This window comes from Homo sapiens, chromosome 13 (assembly GCF_000001405.40).
Source record: "Homo sapiens chromosome 13, GRCh38.p14 Primary Assembly".
Lineage (NCBI taxonomy): Eukaryota > Metazoa > Chordata > Mammalia > Primates > Hominidae > Homo > Homo sapiens.
The window spans coordinates 55,148,739-55,171,777 of record NC_000013.11 but is presented as its reverse complement, the minus strand read 5'-3'; the positions used below and the strand labels follow the sequence as shown (position 1 = coordinate 55,171,777).

At 36.1% G+C, this 23,039-nt stretch overlaps 1 long non-coding RNA gene across 1 annotated transcript in view; it reads right to left on the bottom strand.

Annotated features, from left to right (window-relative positions):
- Positions 1 to 23,039, bottom strand: part of LINC02335 (long intergenic non-protein coding RNA 2335) — a 128,930-nt gene that overhangs the window by 10,959 nt on the left and 94,932 nt on the right. The window contains exon 4 of the long non-coding RNA NR_186625.1: positions 10,646 to 10,821. This is a non-coding gene — a long non-coding RNA (long intergenic non-protein coding RNA 2335). The remainder of the gene's footprint in view (positions 1 to 10,645; positions 10,822 to 23,039) is intronic.

The window sequence follows — 23,039 nt, the reverse complement described above, 5'->3', positions numbered from 1 at the left end:
CTATATAGCTCTCAAAGATATAGGCAGCCTTAATATATGATTTGGTAAATATGCTGAAGAAGCACTCTCAACTGTGGTATGTTGTCTCCAAAATCTTGAAAACCCTGCCATGCATTGAGCTTTTACATTTTTTTTGTGACAGTGCAAAATGAAAAAATATATTTGCTACCTTCGAGGCAAGTATAGACATATTCCAGACATTTGAAACCACGAAACTTTAATGAAGAGGTGGATCCATGCATTTTTGTGGAATTACTGCCCAGATTCTGGCTAGAATTTACCTTACGAAACTATGTCATAGTAATTGCTACCTCTTACACATCAGATTCAATAAACTCAATGTCATCAATGTAGTGGACAAGACTGGGGCTTTGTGGAATGTCATGATGATCAAACTCTCTGCAAATCAGATCATATCTAGAAGAAAAAAAAATGATACAACCCTGAAACAAGGCTCTGAAGGTTTACTGTTAGCACAGCTAGGTAAAAGCAACTGACTTCTGAGGATCTTTACAGTATGGAGAAGAAAAGCATTAGCCATATCAGTAGGAGTTTATCAAGTGTTCAATGATGTATTTCATCATCCTGGTAATAAGTACAGTACTTAATAGGTAATTTTTCAATCATCACCCTCCTCCAACCCTCTACTCTCAAGTAGGCTCTGATGTCTATTGTTCTCTTCTTTGTGTCCCTGTGCACTCAATGCATATTCCTGCTATATAAGAGAGACACGTGGTATTTGGTTTTCTGTTCTTGCATTAGTTCACTTAAGTTAATGGCCTCCAGCTTTATCCACGTTGCTGCAAAGGACATGGTCTTGTTCCTTTTCATGTCTGCATAGTATTCCGTGGTATATGTATCCTATTTTCCTTATCCATTCTACCACCGATGGGCATTTAGGTTGATTCCATGTCTTTGCAATTGTGAATAGTGCTCTGATGAACATTCACATCCATGTTTCCTTCTGGTAGAATAATTTATATTCCTTTGGGTATATACCCAATCATGGGATTGCTGGATCAAATGGTAATTCTGCTTTAAGTTCTTTCAGAAATCATCAAACTGCTTTCCATAATGGTTAACCCAACTCACATTGCCCCCAACAGTTTATAAGCATTCCCTTTTCTTTACAACCTCACCAGCATCTCTTATTTTTTTAGTTTTTAATAATGGCTGTTCCGACTGGTTTAAGATGGTATCTCATTGGGGTTTTGATTTATACTTCTCTAATGATTAGTGGTTTGAGCATTTTTTCATACATCTGTGTCTTCTTTTGAAAAGTGTCTGTTCATATCATTTGCTCACTTTTTAATGGGGTTGTTTGTTTTCTTGCCTGTAAATTTGTTTAAATTCCTTATGGATTGTGGATATTAGGCCTTTATTGGATGCATAGCTTGCAAATATTTTCTCCCATTTTGTAGACTGTCTGTTTACTCTGCTGACAATTTCATTTTTTGTGCAGAAGCTTTTTAGTTTAACTAGGTCCATCTGTCAATTTTTGTTTTTGTTGCAGTTGTTTTTGACATCTTCATTATAGAACCTGTGTCAGGGCCTGTGCCCAAAATGGTATTTCCTAGGTTATCCTCCAGGATTTTTATAGTTGTAGGTCATATTTTTAAGTCCTTAATTCATCTTGAGTTTATTTTCTTATGTGGTATAAGTGAAACAGTGTCAGTATTCTGCATATGGTTAGCCAGTTATCCCATCATCATTTATTGACTAGGAAGTCCTTTCCTGATTACTTGTTTTTGTCAACTTTGTTGAAAATCAGATGGTTGTAGGTGTGTGGCATTATTTCTGGGCTCTCAGTTCTGTTCCCTTGTACCAGTACTATGCTGTTTGGGTTACGGTAGCCTTGTAGTATAGTTTGAAGTCAGATAGACTCTAGCTCTGTTCTTTTTGCTTAGGATTTTCTTGGATATTCAGGCTCTTTTTTGGTTTCATTGGAATTCTAAAATTGTTTTTTCTAATTCTGTGAAGGTTGCTATAGGTAGCTTGATGGGAATAACATTGAATCCATAAATTGCTTTGGGCAGTATGGCCTCTTTAATGATATTCATTTATCCATGAACATAAAATAATTTTCCATTTGTTTGCAGCATCTCTGATTCGTTTCAGCAGTGTTTTGTAATTCTCATTGCAGAGATTTTTCACTTCCCTGGTTAACCATATTCCCAGATATTTTATTCTTTTTGTGTCTATTGTGAATGGTATTACATTCTTGATTTGGCTCTAAGCTTGAATGTTGTTTCTATATGGGAATACTACTGATTTTTGTACTTTGACTTTGTATTCTAAAATTTGCTTAAGTTGTTTATCAGACCTAGGAGATTTTTGGCAGAGATTATGGGATTTGATAGAGATTATTTGGCAGAGATTTTGCACATATAGAATCATATTGTCTACAAACAAAAGTAGTTTTACTTTCTCCTTTCTTATTTGGATTTTTTTTTATCTTATTCCCTTGGTTAGAAGTTTCAGTATGATGTTGAATACGAGTGGTGAGAGTGAACATCCTTGTGCTGTTCCAGTTCTCAAAGGAAATGTGTCCAGTTTCGTTCCATTTAGTATGATGTTGGCTATGGGTTTGCCATAAATAGCTCATTATTTTAAGGTACGTTCTTTTGATATCTAGTTTTTTGAGAGTTTTTATGATGACGGGATGCTGGATTTTATTGAAAGCCTCTTCTACATCCATAGAGATGATCATTTGGTGTTTGTTTTTACTTCTGTTTATGTAATTAACCACATGTACTGATTTATGTAGGTTGAACTAACTTTGCATCCCAGGGATAAAACCTACTGGATTGTGGTAGATTCATTTTTTTGATATGCTACTGGATTTGATTTGCTAATATTTTGTTGAGGATCCTTGCATTCATGTTGATCAGTGATATTGGCCTAAAGTTTACTTTTTTGTTGTATCTCTGCCAGGTTTGGTGTCAGAATGATGCTGTCCTCATAGAATGAGTTAGGGAGGAATCACCTCTTCTCAATTGTTTAGAATAGTTTTATTAGGTATGGTACCATCGCTTCTTTATATATTTGCTAGAATTTGGCTATGAATCCATCGGGTCCTGAGCTCTTTCTAATTGGTAGACTTTTTATTACTGATTCAGTTTTGGAACTCATTATTGGTCTGTTCAAGGTTTCAATTTCTTCCTTGTTTAATCGACAGAGGTTGTATGTTTCCAGAAATTTATTCATTTCTTGTAGGTTTTCTAATCTGTGTACATAAAGGTGTTCATAATAGTCCCTGAGGGTTTTTGTATTTCTCTGGGGTCAGTGGTGTTATCACCTTTGTCATTTCTGATTTTGTTTATTTAGTTCTTCTCTCTTTTTTTCAATGTTAGTCTAGCTAGTGGTCTATCAATCTTATTTATTCTTTCAGAGAACAAACTTCTAGATATGTTGATTTTTTATGTGGTTTTCACACCTCAATTTCATTCAGTTCAGCTCTTATTATTGGTTATTTCTTTTCTGCTGACAGCTTTGGTGTTGATTTGCTCTTGTTTATCTAGTTCCTCTAGGTGTGATGTTAGATTGTTAATTTGTGGTCTTTCTACCTTTTTGATGTGTTCATTTAGTGCTATAAACTTTCCTTTCAACAATGTTTTAGCTGTGTTTCATAGATTTTGATATGGTTTATCTTTGTTCTCATTAGTTTCAAAAATGTTTTTTACTTATGACTCAATTTTATTGTTTACCCAAAAGTCATTCTGAAACAGATTATTTAATTTCCATGTAATTATATGGTTTTGAGAGATTTGGGTGTTGGTTTTTCTTTTCATTGCACTGTGGTCCAAAAATGTGGTTGGTATAATTGTCTTAAAATTTGTTGAGAATTGCATCACAGCTGCATTTGTATTCAGTTTTTGAGTAGGTGCTGTGTAAGGATAACAAGAATGTATATTCTGCTTTTGTTGGGTGGAGTTTTCTATAGATGTCTGTTAGGTACATGAGGTCAAGTGTCAAGATTAGGTCCCTAATATCTTTGTTAGTTTTCTACCTGAATGATCTGTCTGATACTATCAGTGTGATATTAAAGTCTCTTGCTATTATTATTCATCTAAGATTCTTCATTGATCTCTAAGAACTTTTTCCATGAATCTGGGTGCTCCTCTATTGGATACATATATATTTAAGATCATTAGGTTTTCTTTTTTAATTGATCCTTTTAACATTATGTAATGCCCTTCTTTCTCTTTTTTAGTCATTGTTGGTTTAAAGTCTGTTTTGCCTGAAATTAGAATACCAACTCATGCTTTTTCTCCATTTTCCATTTCCTTGGTAGATTTTTCTTCATCCCTTTACTTTGAGCCTATGGGTGTCTTTACATTTGAGGTGGGTCTCTTGAAGACAGCATTCCATTGGGTCTTGCTTCTTTATCTATTTTGCTACTCTGTGCCTTTTAATTGGGGCATTTAGCCCCATTACATTGAGCATTAATATAGATATGTGTGGATTTGGACCCCTCATCATGTTTTTAGCTGGTTACTAAGCAGGCTTAATTGTGTGGTCGTTTTATAATATCAGTGGTCTATGTACTGTAGTGTGTTTTTGTTGTGACTGGTAATGGTTTTTGTTTTCATATTTAGCAGCCCCTTAAGTATCTCTTGTAAGCCAGGTCTAGTGGTAATGAATTCCTTTAGCATTTGCTTGTCTGAAAAGCATCTTATTTATCCTTTGATTACAAAGTTTAGTTTGGCTGGATCTGAAATTCTTATTATTTCTTTCCTTCGAGGATACTGAATATAGGTCCCCAATTTCTTCTGGTCTGTAGTATTTTTTTGTAGAAAAGTTCACTGTTAGCTTGATCGGGTTCCTTTTGTAGGTGACCTGTCCCCTCTGTCTCAGTGTCTTTCATATTTTTTATTGCATTTTGACCTTGGAAAATCTGATGACTATGTGTCTTGGCAATGCTCATGTTATACTGTATCTCTCAGGCTTTCTCTGCATTTCTTGTATTTGAATGTTGGCCTCTCTAGATAAGTCTGGAAAATTTTCATGGACAATATATCAGAATATTTTTTCCAAGTTGCTTGCTTTCTGTCTCTCTCATTCAGGAATATCAATGAGTCATTCATTTGGTTCTTTACATAATCTCATATTTCTTGGAGGCTTTATTCATTCTTCTTTATTCTTTATTTTTTCTGACTGAGTTAACCTGGAGAAGTGGTCTTCAGGCTCTAAGAGTCTTTTTTCAGCTTGATCTATTCCACTGTTAATGATTGCAATTTTATTATGAAATTCTTGTTGTGTATTTTTAGCTCTACAAGGTGAGCTTGCTCTTTTCATAAAATGGCCGGTATATCTTTCAGCTCCTGTGTAACTTTATTGTATCTCTCAGATTCCATGGATTAGGTTAGACTTTCTCCGGATTCTTTTTCTTTTTTCTTTCTTTAGATGGAGTCTCACTCTATCACCAGGCTTTAGTGCAGTGGCACAATCTCAGCTCACTGCAACCTCTGCCTCCCGGGTTCAAGTGATTCTTCTGCCTCAGCCTCCTAAGTAGCTGGGACTACAGGAGCATGCCACCATGCTCAGCTAATTTTTGTATTTTTAGTAGGGATGGGGTTTCACCATGTTAGTCAGGATGGTCTTGATCTCTTGACCTCACGATCCACCTGCCTCGGCCTCCCAAAATATCCTGATTCTTGATTTTTATTTCTATCGATATTCTGAATTCTATTTCTGTCATTTCAGCCGTTTCATCTGGTTAAGAACCATTGCTAGGGAATTAATAAAATCATTTGGAGGTAAGAAGATGCTGTCATTTTGAGTTTCCAGGGCTCTTGCAATGATTCTTTCTCATCTGTGTGGGCTGAAATTCCTTTATTCTCAAAGGATGTTGCTGTCCTTTGGATAACATTTTTTTTCTTTTATCTTCTTTGATATACCTGGGAGTTCAATTGTGGTATAAGGTGGGTTCAGCCAACTGGTTCTGTTTCTGGAGGATTTTAGGGGTCCAAGGGTCAGCTCAGCACTTCTGGACTGTGTGTTCTAATTCTGGAGGGCTGGTACCAGGCCACCAGCTTTGTTCTCTGGCCCCTCAAAGTTAGTAATCTCTTGTGCTAGAAAGGCAAGATATTCCTAGTCTTCTGGCCACAACAATCTGATGAGGGGTGCCAGCCAAAGCACTGTGTTGGGGCAGTGGCAGTGAGATACATTCTTGCTTCCACATGCTAGCAGCTGTTGTGGCGCAGCAGGGGCAGGGCACCAGTAGGGGTGGAGCAGCTGGTGTTTGTGTTTGCACTTGCACTGGCAGTGGCAGGAGTATGGCAGGTTACCCACACATCACTATGGGCATGGCACTGGTGGAGTGCAGCAGGTGGCATTTGAGTGTGTGTTCACACCAGCAGCAGCTGCATGGTGGTGTGCCCACCACATCAGCAGTGGCAGGGCAGTGGAGTGCACTCATGCTGGCAATAATGTGGTGGTAGGATACATGTACACATGAAATGGCAGCAGGAAAGAGGAGACAAAGTCCTCCCACACCTGCACACCAGTAAATAGGTGAAGTGCAATCATGGGTGAGTGCATGCTGGAAAAGTGGCAGAGGGAGTCTGCAATGGGGGGAGGCTGCAGGTGGGCTGGTGTATGTCATCAGAGGCTGGACTACTGGAGCTATCTGACAGACAGTTGTAGTCTGCTGGTGAAGGAGCTGTGATTAAGTTCCCTGAAAAGCACACAAGCTCCTACTCTGTGCAGGTCTGACAGTCTCCCAGGCTAAAGTCTTTAAGAGAAAGATGGCAAGCCTTGGGGGTTGGGCGACCCTGGCCATGCTCCACTGTAGCCATTCCTCTGCCAAAACCTCTAGGCTCCACACAGGCTGGAGTTCTGCCCTTGCCTCCCCTCTAAGCAGCTCTGCCTGCCAGCTTAAGTGTCTGTGAGGTTCTTGGGGTCTTTTGCTACCAGGATTCAAGAGGCCTGTGGCAAGAGTGGTCCATTCTTTACCTGTTCAATTTACCCCTTCCCCAAGAGTTTCTGGGGACCAAGAACAAGTCCCAGTGCTTGGCAGCCCTGTCCAGGGTTCCCAGCTTCGTCCCTCTTCAGCCTAGTATTTGTATCCTCCCCTGCCCACTCTCAATGCCCTCCTTTCAAAGATCTGCCAGTAGTGTGTTGGTCTTCCCAATGTCCCAGTCTCAATGGGAGATGTTCTTGCTGGCTATGTCTAGTTGACCATATTGGCTGAATATACCTAAGAGTTGGTTCTGCAGGCTGAACAAGCATGATACTGGTATCTACTCAGATTCTGGGGAGGCCTCATGAAGCTTTTACTCATGGTAAAAGGGAAAGCTAGATCAGGCATGTCACATAGCAAGAGCAGGAGCAAGAGATCCCACATTTATTATTACATGAAAAAAGGCAATTCAATATTTTACAAATGTATTACCTTAAGCCTACATTTTTGGGACTGTTTCACGGCTGTAGGACACATTTGAATTTCCAGGAATGAAAGTTGTATGACCTCCCAAATAATTCAGGATAACAAAAACTTAGCATAACAGATACTGGCTTTCTCAGAAAGGAGCCATCAAAGCAGTTACTATGTTTAATGTTTTAAATATATTAATTTGTCTGGCAGCACTCATCATATTACACAAATTACAATACATATATATTATATATTCTACATTCATATGAATTGTTATGAGTTTGACCACAGCGTGCAAGGCAATAGATACTAATCATAATATTACTATGTTATATATCATTTGATGCTAATTTTTATCTCAATTTCCATGGGAAAATAGATATATTCCAGTGTGTGTGTGAAACATAGAAATGATTTTTAGGTCATAGTTTACCAAAAATAGGAGAATATGAAATAAAGAATACTTTTCTCTTAGGCCAGTTGAATATACATGAACATTTTTAATATATCCTTTTAATCCATCTTCCATTTCATGCTTTAGTGCATCAAATGTTTCACTCCTTCTCAGTCATTTTTTACTTACAAAATATTATCCATATCCTTCTATATTAACCCAAGAGCCCTGGCATATGCACTGCTTCAGTGCTCACCTACTAGGATAAAATGTCCAGCAAATTTAGTCTGAATACTGCCCTTCTGCCTTCTCATTCATGTGTGACATCCATTTGTTATGCTGCAAGATACTGGCCTCTTCCCTGCTGTGAGTACCCAAAGACCTCTCCACCTTGAGGTTATGATGCAAAGTAACCTAGCTGTTTTGTGTTCATCCATATTTCTTTTGTTTCTGTCTTCCTTTTTCTGCCAACATTAGAGCATGAATAACAACTAAAATATAATTAAAGTCAATATTGTTTGTGGTCAGAATGCTATTTTAGTAAATCATATTGTTGATAGATTACTTCTAATCCAATGTGACTAATAATCATAGTCATGATAGTCATTTGTGTTCTTTCCAAGACAAAAAGACAGAGGAAAGAAACAAAGAAAGAAAGAAAAGAGAGAGAGAGAGAAAGAAAGAAAGAAAGAAAGAAAGAAAGAAAGAAAGAAAGAAAGAAAGAAAGAAAGAAAGAAAGAGAAAGAAAGAAAGAAGGAAGGAAGGAAGGAAGGAAGGAAGGAAGGAAGGAAGGAAGGAAGGAAAGAAAGAAAGAAAGAAAGAGTAAAGAAAAGAGAAAAGAAAAGAAAAGAAAAAAGAATTTTCCTACACTGAGCATATTTTGCTTTTTTGCTGTCAGCTGTGATCACATGCACATCCTGAAGGGCATTTCCTGGAGAGCTACATGTACATGTGGATTAATTAGGGGGAACTGTAGCCCCTGGTGAGGATTTCAGACCAAATGTACAAACACAAGTCTCTCTCCATATTCTGAGGCTTAGAATAAGGGAAACATACGCTGCAGAGTATGCAAAACTTTTTTTTGCAAAATCACCTCAAGCCTCCATTCGTGATCTAGGAATCAATAGCATTAGTAGTCTAAATTGAGTTAGATGTGACCATAAAATTCAATTTCCTAATTTTAGTTAAACTTAAATATAAAAAAATATAATAACAAGAATACTATTAATTATAAACAAAAAATACATGAAGCACAATACTCTTTTCCATAATTATTTCATTGATACTCATTACTATGCTATTTATAAAGAAACTGAGAATTAGATATATTAATTGTTCATAATTGTTATGTACAATGAGAAGTATTGTCATTAGCTAAATTTTTGAACAATTCCACAAAAAGACATTCCATTATTGCTTAAAGACAGGAGATATGAAGCTAGGGAAAGGCAGGTGTACACTGTAAATTATTAAGTGGATCATTTTACATGTGAGAAATAGACTCCAAAAGTTAAAGAGACCAACTATGTGTCAAGCTTACAAAAGTGCAAGTTAGCACATAATTAGAAGACTTAATATACCTTGAACACCCTGTCTTTATAGAGGAGACAATTCAGAATAGTTTCTCTTACTTGTTAATTCAGATTAAATATCTCTATATGGGACAATAATTCAATAAAAAAAACCTCTTCCACCACTATATTTATATACCATGTCTATTTTTATATATAGGTATATTAATGAACTTCAACTGATACAAGTTTCTTGGTGTGGGGATCATGGCTGTATCAGAAGCTATCAATAAGCAATCCTTATGTTCTTCATTTACTGCTTTAGTAATAATAAGATCCATGTGTCAAGCATTGCACTAAGAGCTTTACATATGTTTACATATATTTTCATACTCAATTCTCAGAACTACCAGACAAGGTAAATTTTATTATCTCCATTTGAAGATAAGGAAACTTAACATTCTGTGAAGTTAAATAACTTGTCCAAGATCTTGCAGCTGGTATGTAGCAGCCCAGATTTAAAATATAATATTTCTCTGAAAAAGCCTTTGATCTTAATAAGCATTGTATAACAATGTCTCTTTTGACTATTTTGAGGCAATTGCATTGTTATTCTGACAGACACATATCACTGTCAAAATTATGCATCATATTCTCTATACAAAGTAAATGCATAAATATAATTCATAATATATATTACAATAGAAATTTAGTTCATTTTAAAAGCAGGAGTTACATCTTATTTATAGTCCATATAGTTCCTAGATTACTGTGGACTCTCAGTAAATATTAAATTACAACCATAGATCATTTAACAATAAAAATTTTAACATCATGCAGTTAAAAACCAAAACAGTAGAATTCACTTTAATGTTGCTATACACAAATTATCTGTCTTGTTTATTTCTGATCCACACATGGTGTGGCTGTACAAACAGAAGGACAGATGTTGTAAGATAATTCACCTTTATAGGTAGATTTAATTTACACGACGCTGGAGTGAAAATGTTTGACAGAGCTTTTTATTTTTTCTTTTATATGAGAATATAATAACCAGGGAGAAAATCCCTATTTTTAAGTGAAAGGTCTTTACATAGTCTAATGTACAATACCTGATGGGGGTCATGGTGGTGAGGGCTGGAGGATGCTACGACCTGTTTTATAATACTGTAGTGATTTGTGATGCAATTAAAAAAAAACATTTTACATGTGAGTTTCCCTAGTCAGCAAAGGCAGAGTTTGTTTCAGGCATAAATACACTTGGTCCCTGTGTCAAGAGAAAGAACTCCACATTGCTTTGAAGCACCCCTGGCAGTTGATAATGGAGGGCTGTTGGCAATGATTATGGAGGCAGATGCTCACCTGTACTCCTACAGTGTACAATCTTGGCTGGATGACAAGGTGAGGAGAAGGAGAAGCTGTCACAGAATGGGGGCAACTGGCAGCTGGAACCCTCGCAGGGAAGGGTAAACTGGTCACCCAGGGCTGCTTGCTTGACTGTAGCAGATCTCATCAATCATGCCAACATATGCAGCTGCCTGAAAATAAACAGGCTTCTCAGACAGGAGACGAAATGAGGTAAATTAAAAGGCCAATAATTTAAACAAATTCGTTACCAGTTTCACAGCAAAGATGGATGGATAAATTCTGCTGATAGACCCAGATTTCTGGTTAATTGATAAAAGTCACTGGTACATATTAATGTGATTAATTTAAATAATTCTGAAACATAATCCTTTTGTATTTTTTTAAAGTTGCTAACCTTCTTAAAAATATAGGTAAGACTTTTTTTTTACATTTGTCAAGTAATATCTTCTCTTTAATTTTACAAAATGTATTACTAATGAATATGCAGCTAAAATAAACATTGTAGTTCTAGGTAATATACCAAAGCACATGTCTTCTTGTTTTGTCCAAAGCCCCAACTGAAATCCGTGAGAATTTGTCTGTAACAATGACTGCATGATGATCCACATAGTGTAAGACAATTCTTTTTATTTTCATTTCATTTTCCTTTGTTCTATTAGTTCATAGCTGATCTTCAAAATACTTATCACAATATTGCCTTAATCCATTACTTCATTATTATACTTTCTCCTTCACTCTTTTATTCTGATTAGATTAACATTAGTTTATTTTAACTTTTTTAATATACATAGACACTATAAACATAAATGTACATATATATACATTTTATATGTATGTAATTTTTTGAACATTCTTTTCTAATTCCTCATAGTACTGCACCAACATTCTATTTCACATCAAGAAAATAAATCACTTGCAGTTCTTTCCTTTTTGGCTGAAAACAGACCTCTCCTGGGAACTCTTGACTAATAACCACAGATTCCCTAAGGTTAGATGATGATGAACTCCACCATTAGACACTTAGTCGTTTTTACTCCTTGTTATCACAACTCTACATTGAATCAATCCTTCATCCTCCATCTAATTTAGATTTATCTAAAAGGACCAGAGAGCTCAGGTCCTTTTTTCTGATGGATTTTATATTTATATGCTTATGATTTCTACCCGGTGCCCTACAGAGAGCACTGTGTGGTGGGGGTCTGACGAAACAATATCAGAAGATGGTGATTTACTTTCTCAAATCTGACAGTGGTGCAGAAATTAGAGAAAGACAAAACCAGCCTGAGGTCAATGTAATTCTCTCGTCTCTCAAGCACATCTCCTTACACAGGTGGCATTACAGCTGTTGTTATGTCTGCAGGGGAATCACAGTCTTTGGCAGCCCCTTACACAGCTGGCAGCCCAATGCAGGAACATGAGAATCAGGTTCGACACTGCTAAATGGGAAGTGTCCACCTTGTCTTCTAAATGTCCGCTTTTCTTCAATCTACATTATGAGACAGTTGATTGTTGCTGTGTTTTTATTATTTTAATCACTGCTGAGAGTTCAAATTTCTCCTCACCTAGTAAGTTACTTAGTGGTCTGTGATCTAATATTAACAGCTATCTCCACCTTAGGAACATATAGGCATCTCTCCAAATGAATTAGCTAAAGATTTTAAATCAGATATTAAGCTGAGAGTTGATTTTAACCTTTCTTCAGAATTTGTAATTGCTTGAGGTATGTTATAGAAATAAATCCTCAAGAGAAATAAATTATTTGGATTTTAATACAGTTGTTTTTTGTAGTAGCAATTATTGCATAAAACTACAGAAAATGTGTCATTTGTGGGAGGGAAAAGAAGATATAAATTCAGTAACTACAACATTGACAATGACATTTTATAATGTCCAGGTACTACTTAGACATCTGGGTACTCGAATTTTATTTATTGTTTTGAACATATTCTATATATATATATATATATCTCAGATTCTTTCTTGCATACATTGGATTTCATCTGCCTGTTAGATGGTTACTGAAGCCGTTGTGGAATCTCTGGGACTAATTGCAACAAGCACATTGAGAGCCATGGCTTTTTTCAGGCCTTTATGTTAGTACTAGTGGTAACCTGGGCTCCACAAATCTTTCCCTTTATCTCAATTTACCTTTAACTTCAAAGAATATCCATGGTGTCTGTATACTCTAAGCTCAATTAACTCTGATGGCGTTGGCATATGTTTATAATCAAAATGATATTATGGACATAACCGAGGCATAGGTTAAAAGTGTCTCTATTACAATAATATAATAAAATAATAAAAGTGGTCCTGCATATCATCTCATATTTCAAAACACTTCAATGTAATCATTTTTGCCACATTTTGTGTGACATATAATAAGAGCATCGTAAATTGGCTCTAAGCTACAGTGCATGAAATTCCACCATAATTAATTAGTGTTGTTATAGCAACACGTTTTATAGCCTTTCTTAACACCCAAAAGATGCAGTGGCTTGGGGTAAACTGTCTAAAAAACATTTTGTCAATTTCATCTTCAACCACTCTCATGCTACTATTTGTTCCTCTTCTTATTTTAATCATGTTTCTCTCAACTTGGATCTCCCCTTTCTGCAGGAATTGAGTAGTCAAACCCCAGCACAGTAGCACATTTTAATATCAGTTTGCTTGTGTGAATACTGAGAAGATAGCACTAGTTTCCTGTCAGGCAGAACAAACACAGTTTGTCTTTCAGTTAAAATTAACTTTTATTTAGCATGACTGCATACAGCATGGAGACAGCATGCCACATTTGACTGCAAGTCACATTGCCTTGCATCCACAGTGCACTATTAGGAGAAAAATTGTGTATTTTTTTCTTTATAACATGACCTACTGAACTATGCTTGTTGGCATAGTTGTAAAAAAAAAAAAAAGGCTGTGTTGGAGGGGAACTAACAGGCCATTTGTATGGTCTCTCTAACTTATAGGCTGAGAAAGAGGAAGAAGGAGATATGCAGAGGTCTCATGTGTAGTTAACTGCATAACTGAGATGTGAAGTAAGGTCTCCACATTTCCTAATTGGTCAGCTTTAAACTAAATTACAAACTGCCTCCTGTCATGTAGCTATAACACACACAGTATCCTTATTTAAGATATAAAATAAACTTGAGGAAAGCTGTGTTGTAATGCTTAAATGCATGACTGTCTTCCCTGGTCAGTGGTAGAAAAGTCATACTAGTGATGCAATGTACCATGTATCTGTCTATATTCTAAGGCAGGTCTATTAGCCCATTCTCATGCTGCTATAAATAAATACCTGTGACTGGGTAATTTATACAGAAAATAGGTGGTTCCATAGGCTATACAGAATGCATGATTCTGGCATCTGCTTGGCTCCTAGGAAGGCCTCAGGAAACAGTCATGATGGAAGGCAAAGGGAGAGCAAGGTGTTTCACATGATGGCAGCAGGAGGAAGTGGGGAGATGCCAAACACTTTTAAACAACCAGATCTCATGAGAACTCTATCACAAAAACAACACCAAAGGGATGGTTCTAAGTTACTCATGAAGGATGCATGCCCATGATGAATCTAATCACCTCCCACCAGGCCTTACCTCCAACACTGGGGATTACAATCGAATATGACAATTGGATGGGGACATAGATCCAAACCACATCATTTCACCTCTGACCCCTCCCAAATTTTATGTCCTTCACACATTGCAAAATAAAGTCATGCCTTCCCAACAGTCCCGCAATGTCTTAAGTCATTCCAGCCTTAACTCAAAACTCCAAAGTCCAAAGTCTTATCTGAGAAAAGGATAGTCCCTTCCACCTATGAACCTGTAAAATCAAAAACAAGTAGTTTACTTGCAAGATACAATGTGGATATAGGCAATGGGTAAATACTGCCATACAAAAAGGGGGAAATCAGCCAAAAGAAAGGGGCTCCAGACCTCATGCAAGTCCAAAGCCCAGCAGGGCAGTCATTACATCTTAATGCTCCAAAATAATTTACCTTGACTCTATGTCTACATCCAGGGCACACTGGTGCGAAGAGTGAGCTCTCAAAGCCATGGGCAGGTCCGTCTCCATAGCTTTGCAAGATTCAGCCCTCATGGCTGCTCTCAAGGCTTCCTTTTTAGTGCCTGTAGTTTGTACAGATGCAAGGTGCAAGCTGCTAGTGTATCTACATTCTAGGGTCTGGAGGACAGTGGCCCTTTTCTTGCAGCTCCACCAGAGGACAGTGGTCCTCTTCTCACAGCAGTATCCCAGTGGGGACTCTGTGTGAGGGCTCCAACCCCACATTTCTCCTCCACACTGGCCTAGTATAGTTTCTCTGTGAGGGCTCCAATAATGCAGTAGGCTTATTCCTGGATATCTAGGCTTTTCCATACATCCTCTGAAATCTAGGTGGAAGCTCCCAAGCCTCAAATCTTGTACTGTGTGCAAGCGCAGGCTTAACACCACATGGAAGTCTCCAAGGCTTATGGCTTGCACTCTCTGAAGCATCAGCCCAAGCTGTACATTAGCCCCTTTTAGCCACAGTTGGAACTGGAGTGGCTGGGATGCAAGAATCAGTGCCCTGAGGCTAAGCAGGGCAGCAGAGGCCTGGTCTTGTCTCAGGAAACTATTCGGACCCCCTAGGCCTATGGGCCTGTGATGGGAGGGGCTACCATGAAGGACTCTAAAATACCTTCAAGACCTTTGTCCCATCATCTTGGTTATCAGCATTTGCCTTCCTTTCAGTTATGCAAATTTCTGCAACCTGCTTGAATTCCTCCCCAAAAATGAGCTTTTCTTTCTACCACCTGGCCAGATTGCAGTGTTTCCAAACATTTATGCTCTGCATCCCTTTTAAATATTAGTTCCAATATCTGGTCCTTTCTTTGCTCACGCACATAAGCCTGTGTTGTTAGAAGCACCCAGGTCACATTTTCAATGCTTTGCTGCTTAAAATTTTCTTCTGCCAGATACCATAAATCAGCTCTCTGAAATTCAAAATTCCCTAGGGCAGGGACAAAATGTACTAAGGTTCTAAGCTAAAGCATAACAAAAGTGAACTTTGCCACAATTTCCAATAAGTTCCTCATCTCTGTCTAAGACTTAATCAGCCTTGCCTTCCCTGTCCATATCACTATCAGCATTTGGGTCACAACTATTCAACAAGTCTCTAGGAAGTTCTAAATTTTTTCTCATATTTCTGATTTCTTTTGAGCCCTCCAAACTCTTCCAACCTTTGTCCATTACCCAGTTCCAAAGTGGCTTCCACATTTTCAAGTATCTTTAGAGCAATGCCCCACATCTCAGTATCAATTTTCTGTATTAGTCCGTTGCCATACTGTTATAAAGAAATACCTGAGACTGGGTAATTTACAAAGAAAAGAGGTTTAATTGGCTGCTGGTTCTGCAGCTGTACAGAAAGCATGATTCTGGTAACTGCTCAGCTTCTGGGGAGGCCTCAGGAAACTTACAATTATGACAGAAGGCCAAGGGAGACTGAGGTGTCTTACATGGTGGGAGAAAGACAAAGGTGGGGAGGTTCCATACACTTTTAACCAGATATTTTGAGAATTATATCACAAAAACAGCACCAAAGGGATGGTTCTAAACCATTCATGAAGGATGCACCTCCTTGATTCAATCACCTCCCACCAGCTCCACATCCAACATTGGGGATTACAATTGAACATGATACTTGGTTGGGGACACAGATCCAAACCATATCAACAGGATATTAGTTTCAAGTAGAATTGGGTATGAGAGAGCAAATAAAATCTGAAGCAGCGGAACATTTCAGCATTAGGATAGTGTAACTGTGAGTGAAGGATAGAAGTATTCAGATAGTAGGAGTATTATGGAACTCCAGACAAAGATAATAAGTGGATACTGGCAGACTTCCAAGTCCAGTAATTTGAGAAGATGCAGAAAACTGTGATTCCACCAACAGTCAGCATCAAGAAACAATATAACAATAGAATCCAGGAAATTGAGATTTAGAGGGACAAGTAATAAAAGAAATACCCTAACAGATATCTTTGCAATATTAGAACTTGGTAACATGTCAGAACTGTAAAGATTATTAATAGTACCAGCTCCATAATTTGGGGGACTCAATGCAAAATAAGAATATTGGGCTTTTTACTCAATTCTTAAGAATTCCAACATGTCAACAGCAAAGCATGAAACCAAATGTAAGGCAATTGTACATGTAGGGAGTTGAGAAGCTAAAATATACATTTCACAAAATTCTTTGTAGCTAGAATTCTGGACTTGACTTTGGTTTTACCAATTAGATGCAGTCACAACTGATTTAAAAAGCAGAAGTAAGGTTTTTGGCTATGGCTGCTAGTAAGCAATTTGACTTGTGTTACTTAAACCAAAGCTGTGGTTCTTCATTCTACAGCTTTCTGAATATTGAGAGACAGGTGTTATAGTGGTGAAGTTTTTACTGTAACCAAAACTCAAAAGGTTGCCTTAGGGCATAAGTACCCACAGCAAATCATTGTTTAATTACATGGAAAAATTATTCAAGGGGATTCAGACAAGAAAACACTGCCTCTACCCTCCCAACAATTTTGTGAACATCTAATTCTCTTAGAGATATCTTTCTTAAAATACCTAAATTGGTCTGTGTTTGTTTGTTTTTCTTGTTTATAATTGAATTCTGTCTGATTCAATAAAATTGAGTTGATTCTAAAGGTGGAGACATTAAGAATCCCCAGCAAAATTTTGTAACAGAGATTATAATAAACTTTTCTAATGTACAAGTGATGTAACTTCAATTTACATCTACAGAAATGTACTTGGTGGGCAATGAATGATGGACAGATAATTTTTTAAGTATTGACTTAGCATCTATAATCAATGTATTTATTTCCTAGGGCTGCTGTAACAAATCACCACAAACTTGGTGGCTTTAAAAAACAGAAATGTATTCTCTCACAGTTCCAGAAAGCAGAAATCTGAAATCAAGGTGGCAGGGCTGATTCCTTCTGGAGGCTCAGGGGGAGAATCTGCTTCATGCTTATTTTTAAGAGTTTGGTACCTTCTGGCAATCCTTGGCATTCCTTAGCTTGTAACTATATGACTCTAATCTCTTCCCCCATCTTCATGTGGCCTTCTGTCTTGTGTGTATGTGTCTTCTTTTCTGTCTCTTACAAAAACACTTGTCATTGTATTCAGGGCACACCCTATTTTAAGATGATCTCTTCGAAAGATCCTAACCCTAATTATACCTGCAAATAAACTTATTGCAAATAAGTCTACATGGGAAGATTACTGGTTGACGTATGTTGGGGGGATACCATTCAACCTCCTAAACTAAGGAAATAATAATATTAAGCTTACTAAGGAAACTAAAATATTTTCTATTTTTTGTTTTGTTTTGCTGTTTACTTGTAATAGAGCATAATATAAAATTAATACATGGACTTTGACCTTTTGAAAAGAAGACTTAAACAAATGGACTTAGAAAAGAGAGAATCCAGATGGATTCTTCAAGTAAAAAACAATACGATATGCATTTAAATGTTTTTTAATTGCAAGATTATCAACGTTTTCAAGTTCCTGGTGGAAAACTGGAAAACTTTTCGTTGCCTATTTCAGATGTCACTATCACAAAAGTAATGGCTAAAGTTAATTTGCTAGGCTTCAGTAACTTATAGAAAATTCTCAAGATTTTATCAATTTTGAACTAGAAATAGAAGGGATAACCATTCCTGTACACATATACATGCACTTATCTGTAACATGCTTCCACTGATTGCAGGACACTGTTATGATTTAAAAATTCTTACTGATAGTTAACTTCTAACTTTATTCTGAATGTGAAAACTTCATTATTAAAATTATCTTAAATTCTGGAAAACAATTACTTAAAACTACAGCAATCAACAGATATTTTGATAATGCAAAATAAATGCATTTTTGATTCATACACTTGCAAATAATTGTTTTAACATCTTCTTTGAGCATGTGGTTGATCAAATAATGTGTAGTCCTATACTGATTATTTAAATAGAACCTGTATAATTATTCAATATTTATAAAACCAACATGGGATATAGTGAAATGCTGAGTTAATGCTGAATAAACATCATCTTAACGTTTATAAAATTAGAGAAAATCATTCAGTTTTCAAAATTTATTTCAATTTTCTATATGTAATTTGCTGTTGAAACAAACTTTAATTTTGACAAAATTCATTTACAAATGAAAATTCTGTCCATTTAATTTCAAAAATCTAAAATAATAAACAGTTAATGTTATATACTGAAAATAGAAGAAAACAATTTATTCATCAATATTATTGCAAATTTTATTAGGATGTATAGAAATATCTGTAACATAATTAATTTAATAACTATTCAGAGTATACTAAGAAGGTAAACAATAAACTTTCTATCTACTTTAAGTAAAAAACGATAGCTTTCTGATGGTGCATCATTTAGGAAATATATTTGTTAGGCTTTTGTAGATATTGTTCACTTCTTTTTTTTTAACTTGACTGAGTTTCGTTTTAAAGATATAACATTAAAAACTTAATAATAACAAAATTCAGGATTTAACTATCAGTCTGCATGGTTAAGCACCATGAAAGACATAGTCAACCTAAGATTTAACTATTTAACAATCAGGCTGCAGAGCCCATATATGTTTTTGTTGACTGCTTCATACAGAGAAATATTGGCCTTTGTGAGTTGTTCTGTACCTTCATAACTATTTAATTATAAATTATTTTATTTTTGTTTCATATATACTTTGAAAATGTTTTTGCATGACATATTTTACTATACATGCCATTTTTTGAGACAAATAGAACATAAACTCCTCATTGATGGCCAGTTTTTGTTGTTATTGTTGTTTTTTGGTTGTATTTTTTTTTTTTTTTTGAGACAGGGTCTCACTCTGTTGCTGAGGTTGGAGTGCAGTGGTGCCATCGCAGCTCACTGCAGCTTTGACCTCCTGGGCTCAAGCGCTTCTCCCACCTCAGCCTTCAGAGTGGCCGGGACTGTAGGTGCACACAACCATGCCCAGCTAATTTTTGCATTTTTTGTAGAGATGGGGTTTCACCTCATTGCCCAGGCTGGTCTCGAACTCCTGGTCTCAAGAGATCTACCCACATTGGCTTTCCAAAGTGCTAGGATTACAGGCATGAGCCATGGTGCTTGGCAAGGTGGCCAAAATTTGAGTTAATTTGTGCTTATTTTAAGTCGTGCAGAGAAAAACAATGTGGATGAAGGGAAGACCCTAAGGATCATGGTGAGATAACATATTGAGTCTCATCTCTCCCCTTAAGTAGCTTCAACACCCAGAGGTAACAAGTCAATCGTTCCATGCTTCAGTTCCTTATTTGACAAAGCAAAATTATAACTAATCTCTTTAATGCATAGAACTATCTTTTAAAACTAAATTGAAGTGATGAATAAATAAATGCTTTGCAATGTAAAATAGCCACCCAATTGCCTTTAATTATATTTATTACTAATCTAATTATGAAAAACACTGTTTTCAGTATAAATAATCAGTAATAATAATTGATTTACTAAACCAAACATGGAAACATAATCTAAACATGAGGCAGAGAAGGAAAGAGGTGAAGTATAATACAGACAGACTCTTATCTGAAACTTATCTACCAATCCCCTTCATAACTTCTCAGGTATAGCTTTCTCCACTAACTCTTAGGTATTAACCAGTCCTATAATGTTGTCAAATAACCCAGCACATATCTTTCTTGAAGCCTATTCACTTACATTTATTACTGATATAGCTCTCTTCTCTCCTAGACTGTGAACAAATTTAAAGTAGAAATTGTGCTTTATCCATCCATACATCTTTTATTCTCCCTCTATCTCTTTTTTCTCTCATTCCCTTCCTTCTTTTGTATCTTTCCATATTTATATAGTCAGTAAATACTATACTGCTTCACTGGGATAGTGGTTTCATAATGTTAATGGGTTTTAGAAACATGTGGACATAATTTTAACAAGTGCAGATTGTTGCTCCCAGACTCGGACTTTACAATTCAATAGATCTAGGGTTGCATACCTTTGGGTTATCATGTCTAATAAGTTTCCAGATAATGGTAATGTTGCCTGCATTGGAACTACACTTTGAGAACCACTGCTCTAGCATATAAAAAGTGGTCAATAAATGTTTGCTAAATAAAAACTTAAACTCTTATACTAGTGTACCCCACACTGCAATTTTCTTCACTGCTCATAGAGGTTTTTATCAGTTTGATGGTCAACTCTAATAACTGCTCTTAACAATTTATTACAAGAAAGCATTGAATTAAATACATCTATCCTTTATATGGGTTCCTTAGCACCTAGTAAAACAATATTAGCCCTAAATTAGAAAAAATAGATTTATGGGCAAAATAGATGGCAAATTATTAAAATTACCCTCGAAAGACTATGAATTTCTTAAGAAATAGCCATAAAAGATAATAAATTTAAACTAATAGTTTCTACAGTCTTGCTTTCATTGATGTGTTTAAATTACTTCCCTATGAAACTCGAATATCAGGCTGACAACACCTGCTGTGAGTTTGTTAATTTTTGTTTACTAAGCAAAGCTCTTGATCTTTGCCTTTAAACAGCTCATTCGGTAAGCAGAGAGAGAAAAATGTGAGTTTCATTAGAGCAGGGCTAATAAACTCATTGTTAACAAAGCCAAAAAAATAGGCTCACTTCCAAATTCTTCATTAAGAAGCTAATTACTAAACATTCACTTCTATGGTTTTAAAATTATATCGTTTTACATGTGAGTAGCAAACTGGCCATTGACAATTATGTATAACCTGACCCTATGAATGAAGTCATCATATTCAACAAGCATAGAGTATCATATGCAATATTCAAATTCATATAATAAATTTCATTAGAATTTCTAATTCTTTCTAAGATTATGAAAAGCAAACACATTTTAGAATTTTTTTTTTTTTTTTTTTTTTTTTTTTGAGACGGAGTCTCGCTCTGTCGCCCAGGCCGGACTGCGGACTGCAGTGGCGCAATCTCGGCTCACTGCAAGCTCCGCTTCCCGGGTTCACACCATTCTCCTGCCTCAGCCTCCCGAGTAGCTGGGACTACAGGCGCCCGCCACCGCGCCCGGCTAATTTTTTGTATTTTTAGTAGAGACGGGGTTTCACCTTGTTAGCCAGGATGGTCTCGATCTCCTGACCTCATGATCCACCTGCCTCGGCCTCCCAAAGTGCTGGGATTACAGGCGTGAGCCACCGCGCCCGGCCCTAGAATTTCTAAAAAAAAATTTATGAACAATAAAGACCTACTCATCTATTATTTAATGTTTGCTTTTATTTTAATTTTATTCTGTAAACCTTTGTTTGCATTTTAAATAAAGTTTTCATTGGTTTTTACTATTTAAGAATAGCTTACTTTCTAATTAAGAGCTGTTTTTGTGTTGTTTTTGTTTTTGTTTTTTTCTTTCAATTTAAGCCAGTGGCTCTTAAATTGTGCTGCATCAGAATCACCTGTTGGGCTTGGTAAAACAATGTTGGGTCCTAGCACCAGTTTTTAATCCAATAGGTCTTGGGTTAGGACCAGAAAATTTGCATGATTCCTCTATGACACTGATGATGCTAGTCCAGGGACTACACTTTGAGGAATATTCACCAATTTAAATATAAATAATGGTACTTTAGTTCTTATTTCTCATCTTTGAACAAATTAATTCATATATAAGAAAGAACAAAACAGAAAATAAAATATAGCTTGTTTCTTTTCAATTTTTTTAAAGTTCATAATAATGCCAAATATAATTTTGTAATCAAATTATAATTTGCAAGTTTCAAGTTTATTACGCATGATTCTGTAGTTGTTTAGCTATCCCAAAGGGGAAACTTTACATTTACAATTGTAATATTTATGTTCTAATAATACAATAACTGCAAATGTGGTTACATAAACACAGCTTACTTTTAGAACATTTGACTCAGTTGATCCCCTACACTTAAATATCAGACTAAAAATTTAGTATGTGTATGTGTGGTTTGTGTGTATGTGTGTGTTTATTCTATTCAAAGCCTGCTTGGTTATTTAAAAAAATACATTTAAAAAATAAACACTTTTCTTTCTCAATGTTTATTTTGCTTTTATTGATTGATTGATTTATAATTTTTCCCAGGAATTTAAAAGACTGGGAAAATTGACGTTTTCAACATACCAAAGCAGAGAAATGAGTACAGTGAATTCCCAAGCATTCATTATCCTTCCTCAACAAATATCAATTTGTGGCCACTTGTACTTCTATATTCTCCCCTGATTATTTTGAAGCAGATCCCAGGCATGTTATTTTATGTATAAATATCTCAATAAGTATCTCTAAAAAACAAGAACTCGTCTTAAAGATAATAACAATACCATCATCCTTTAACCTT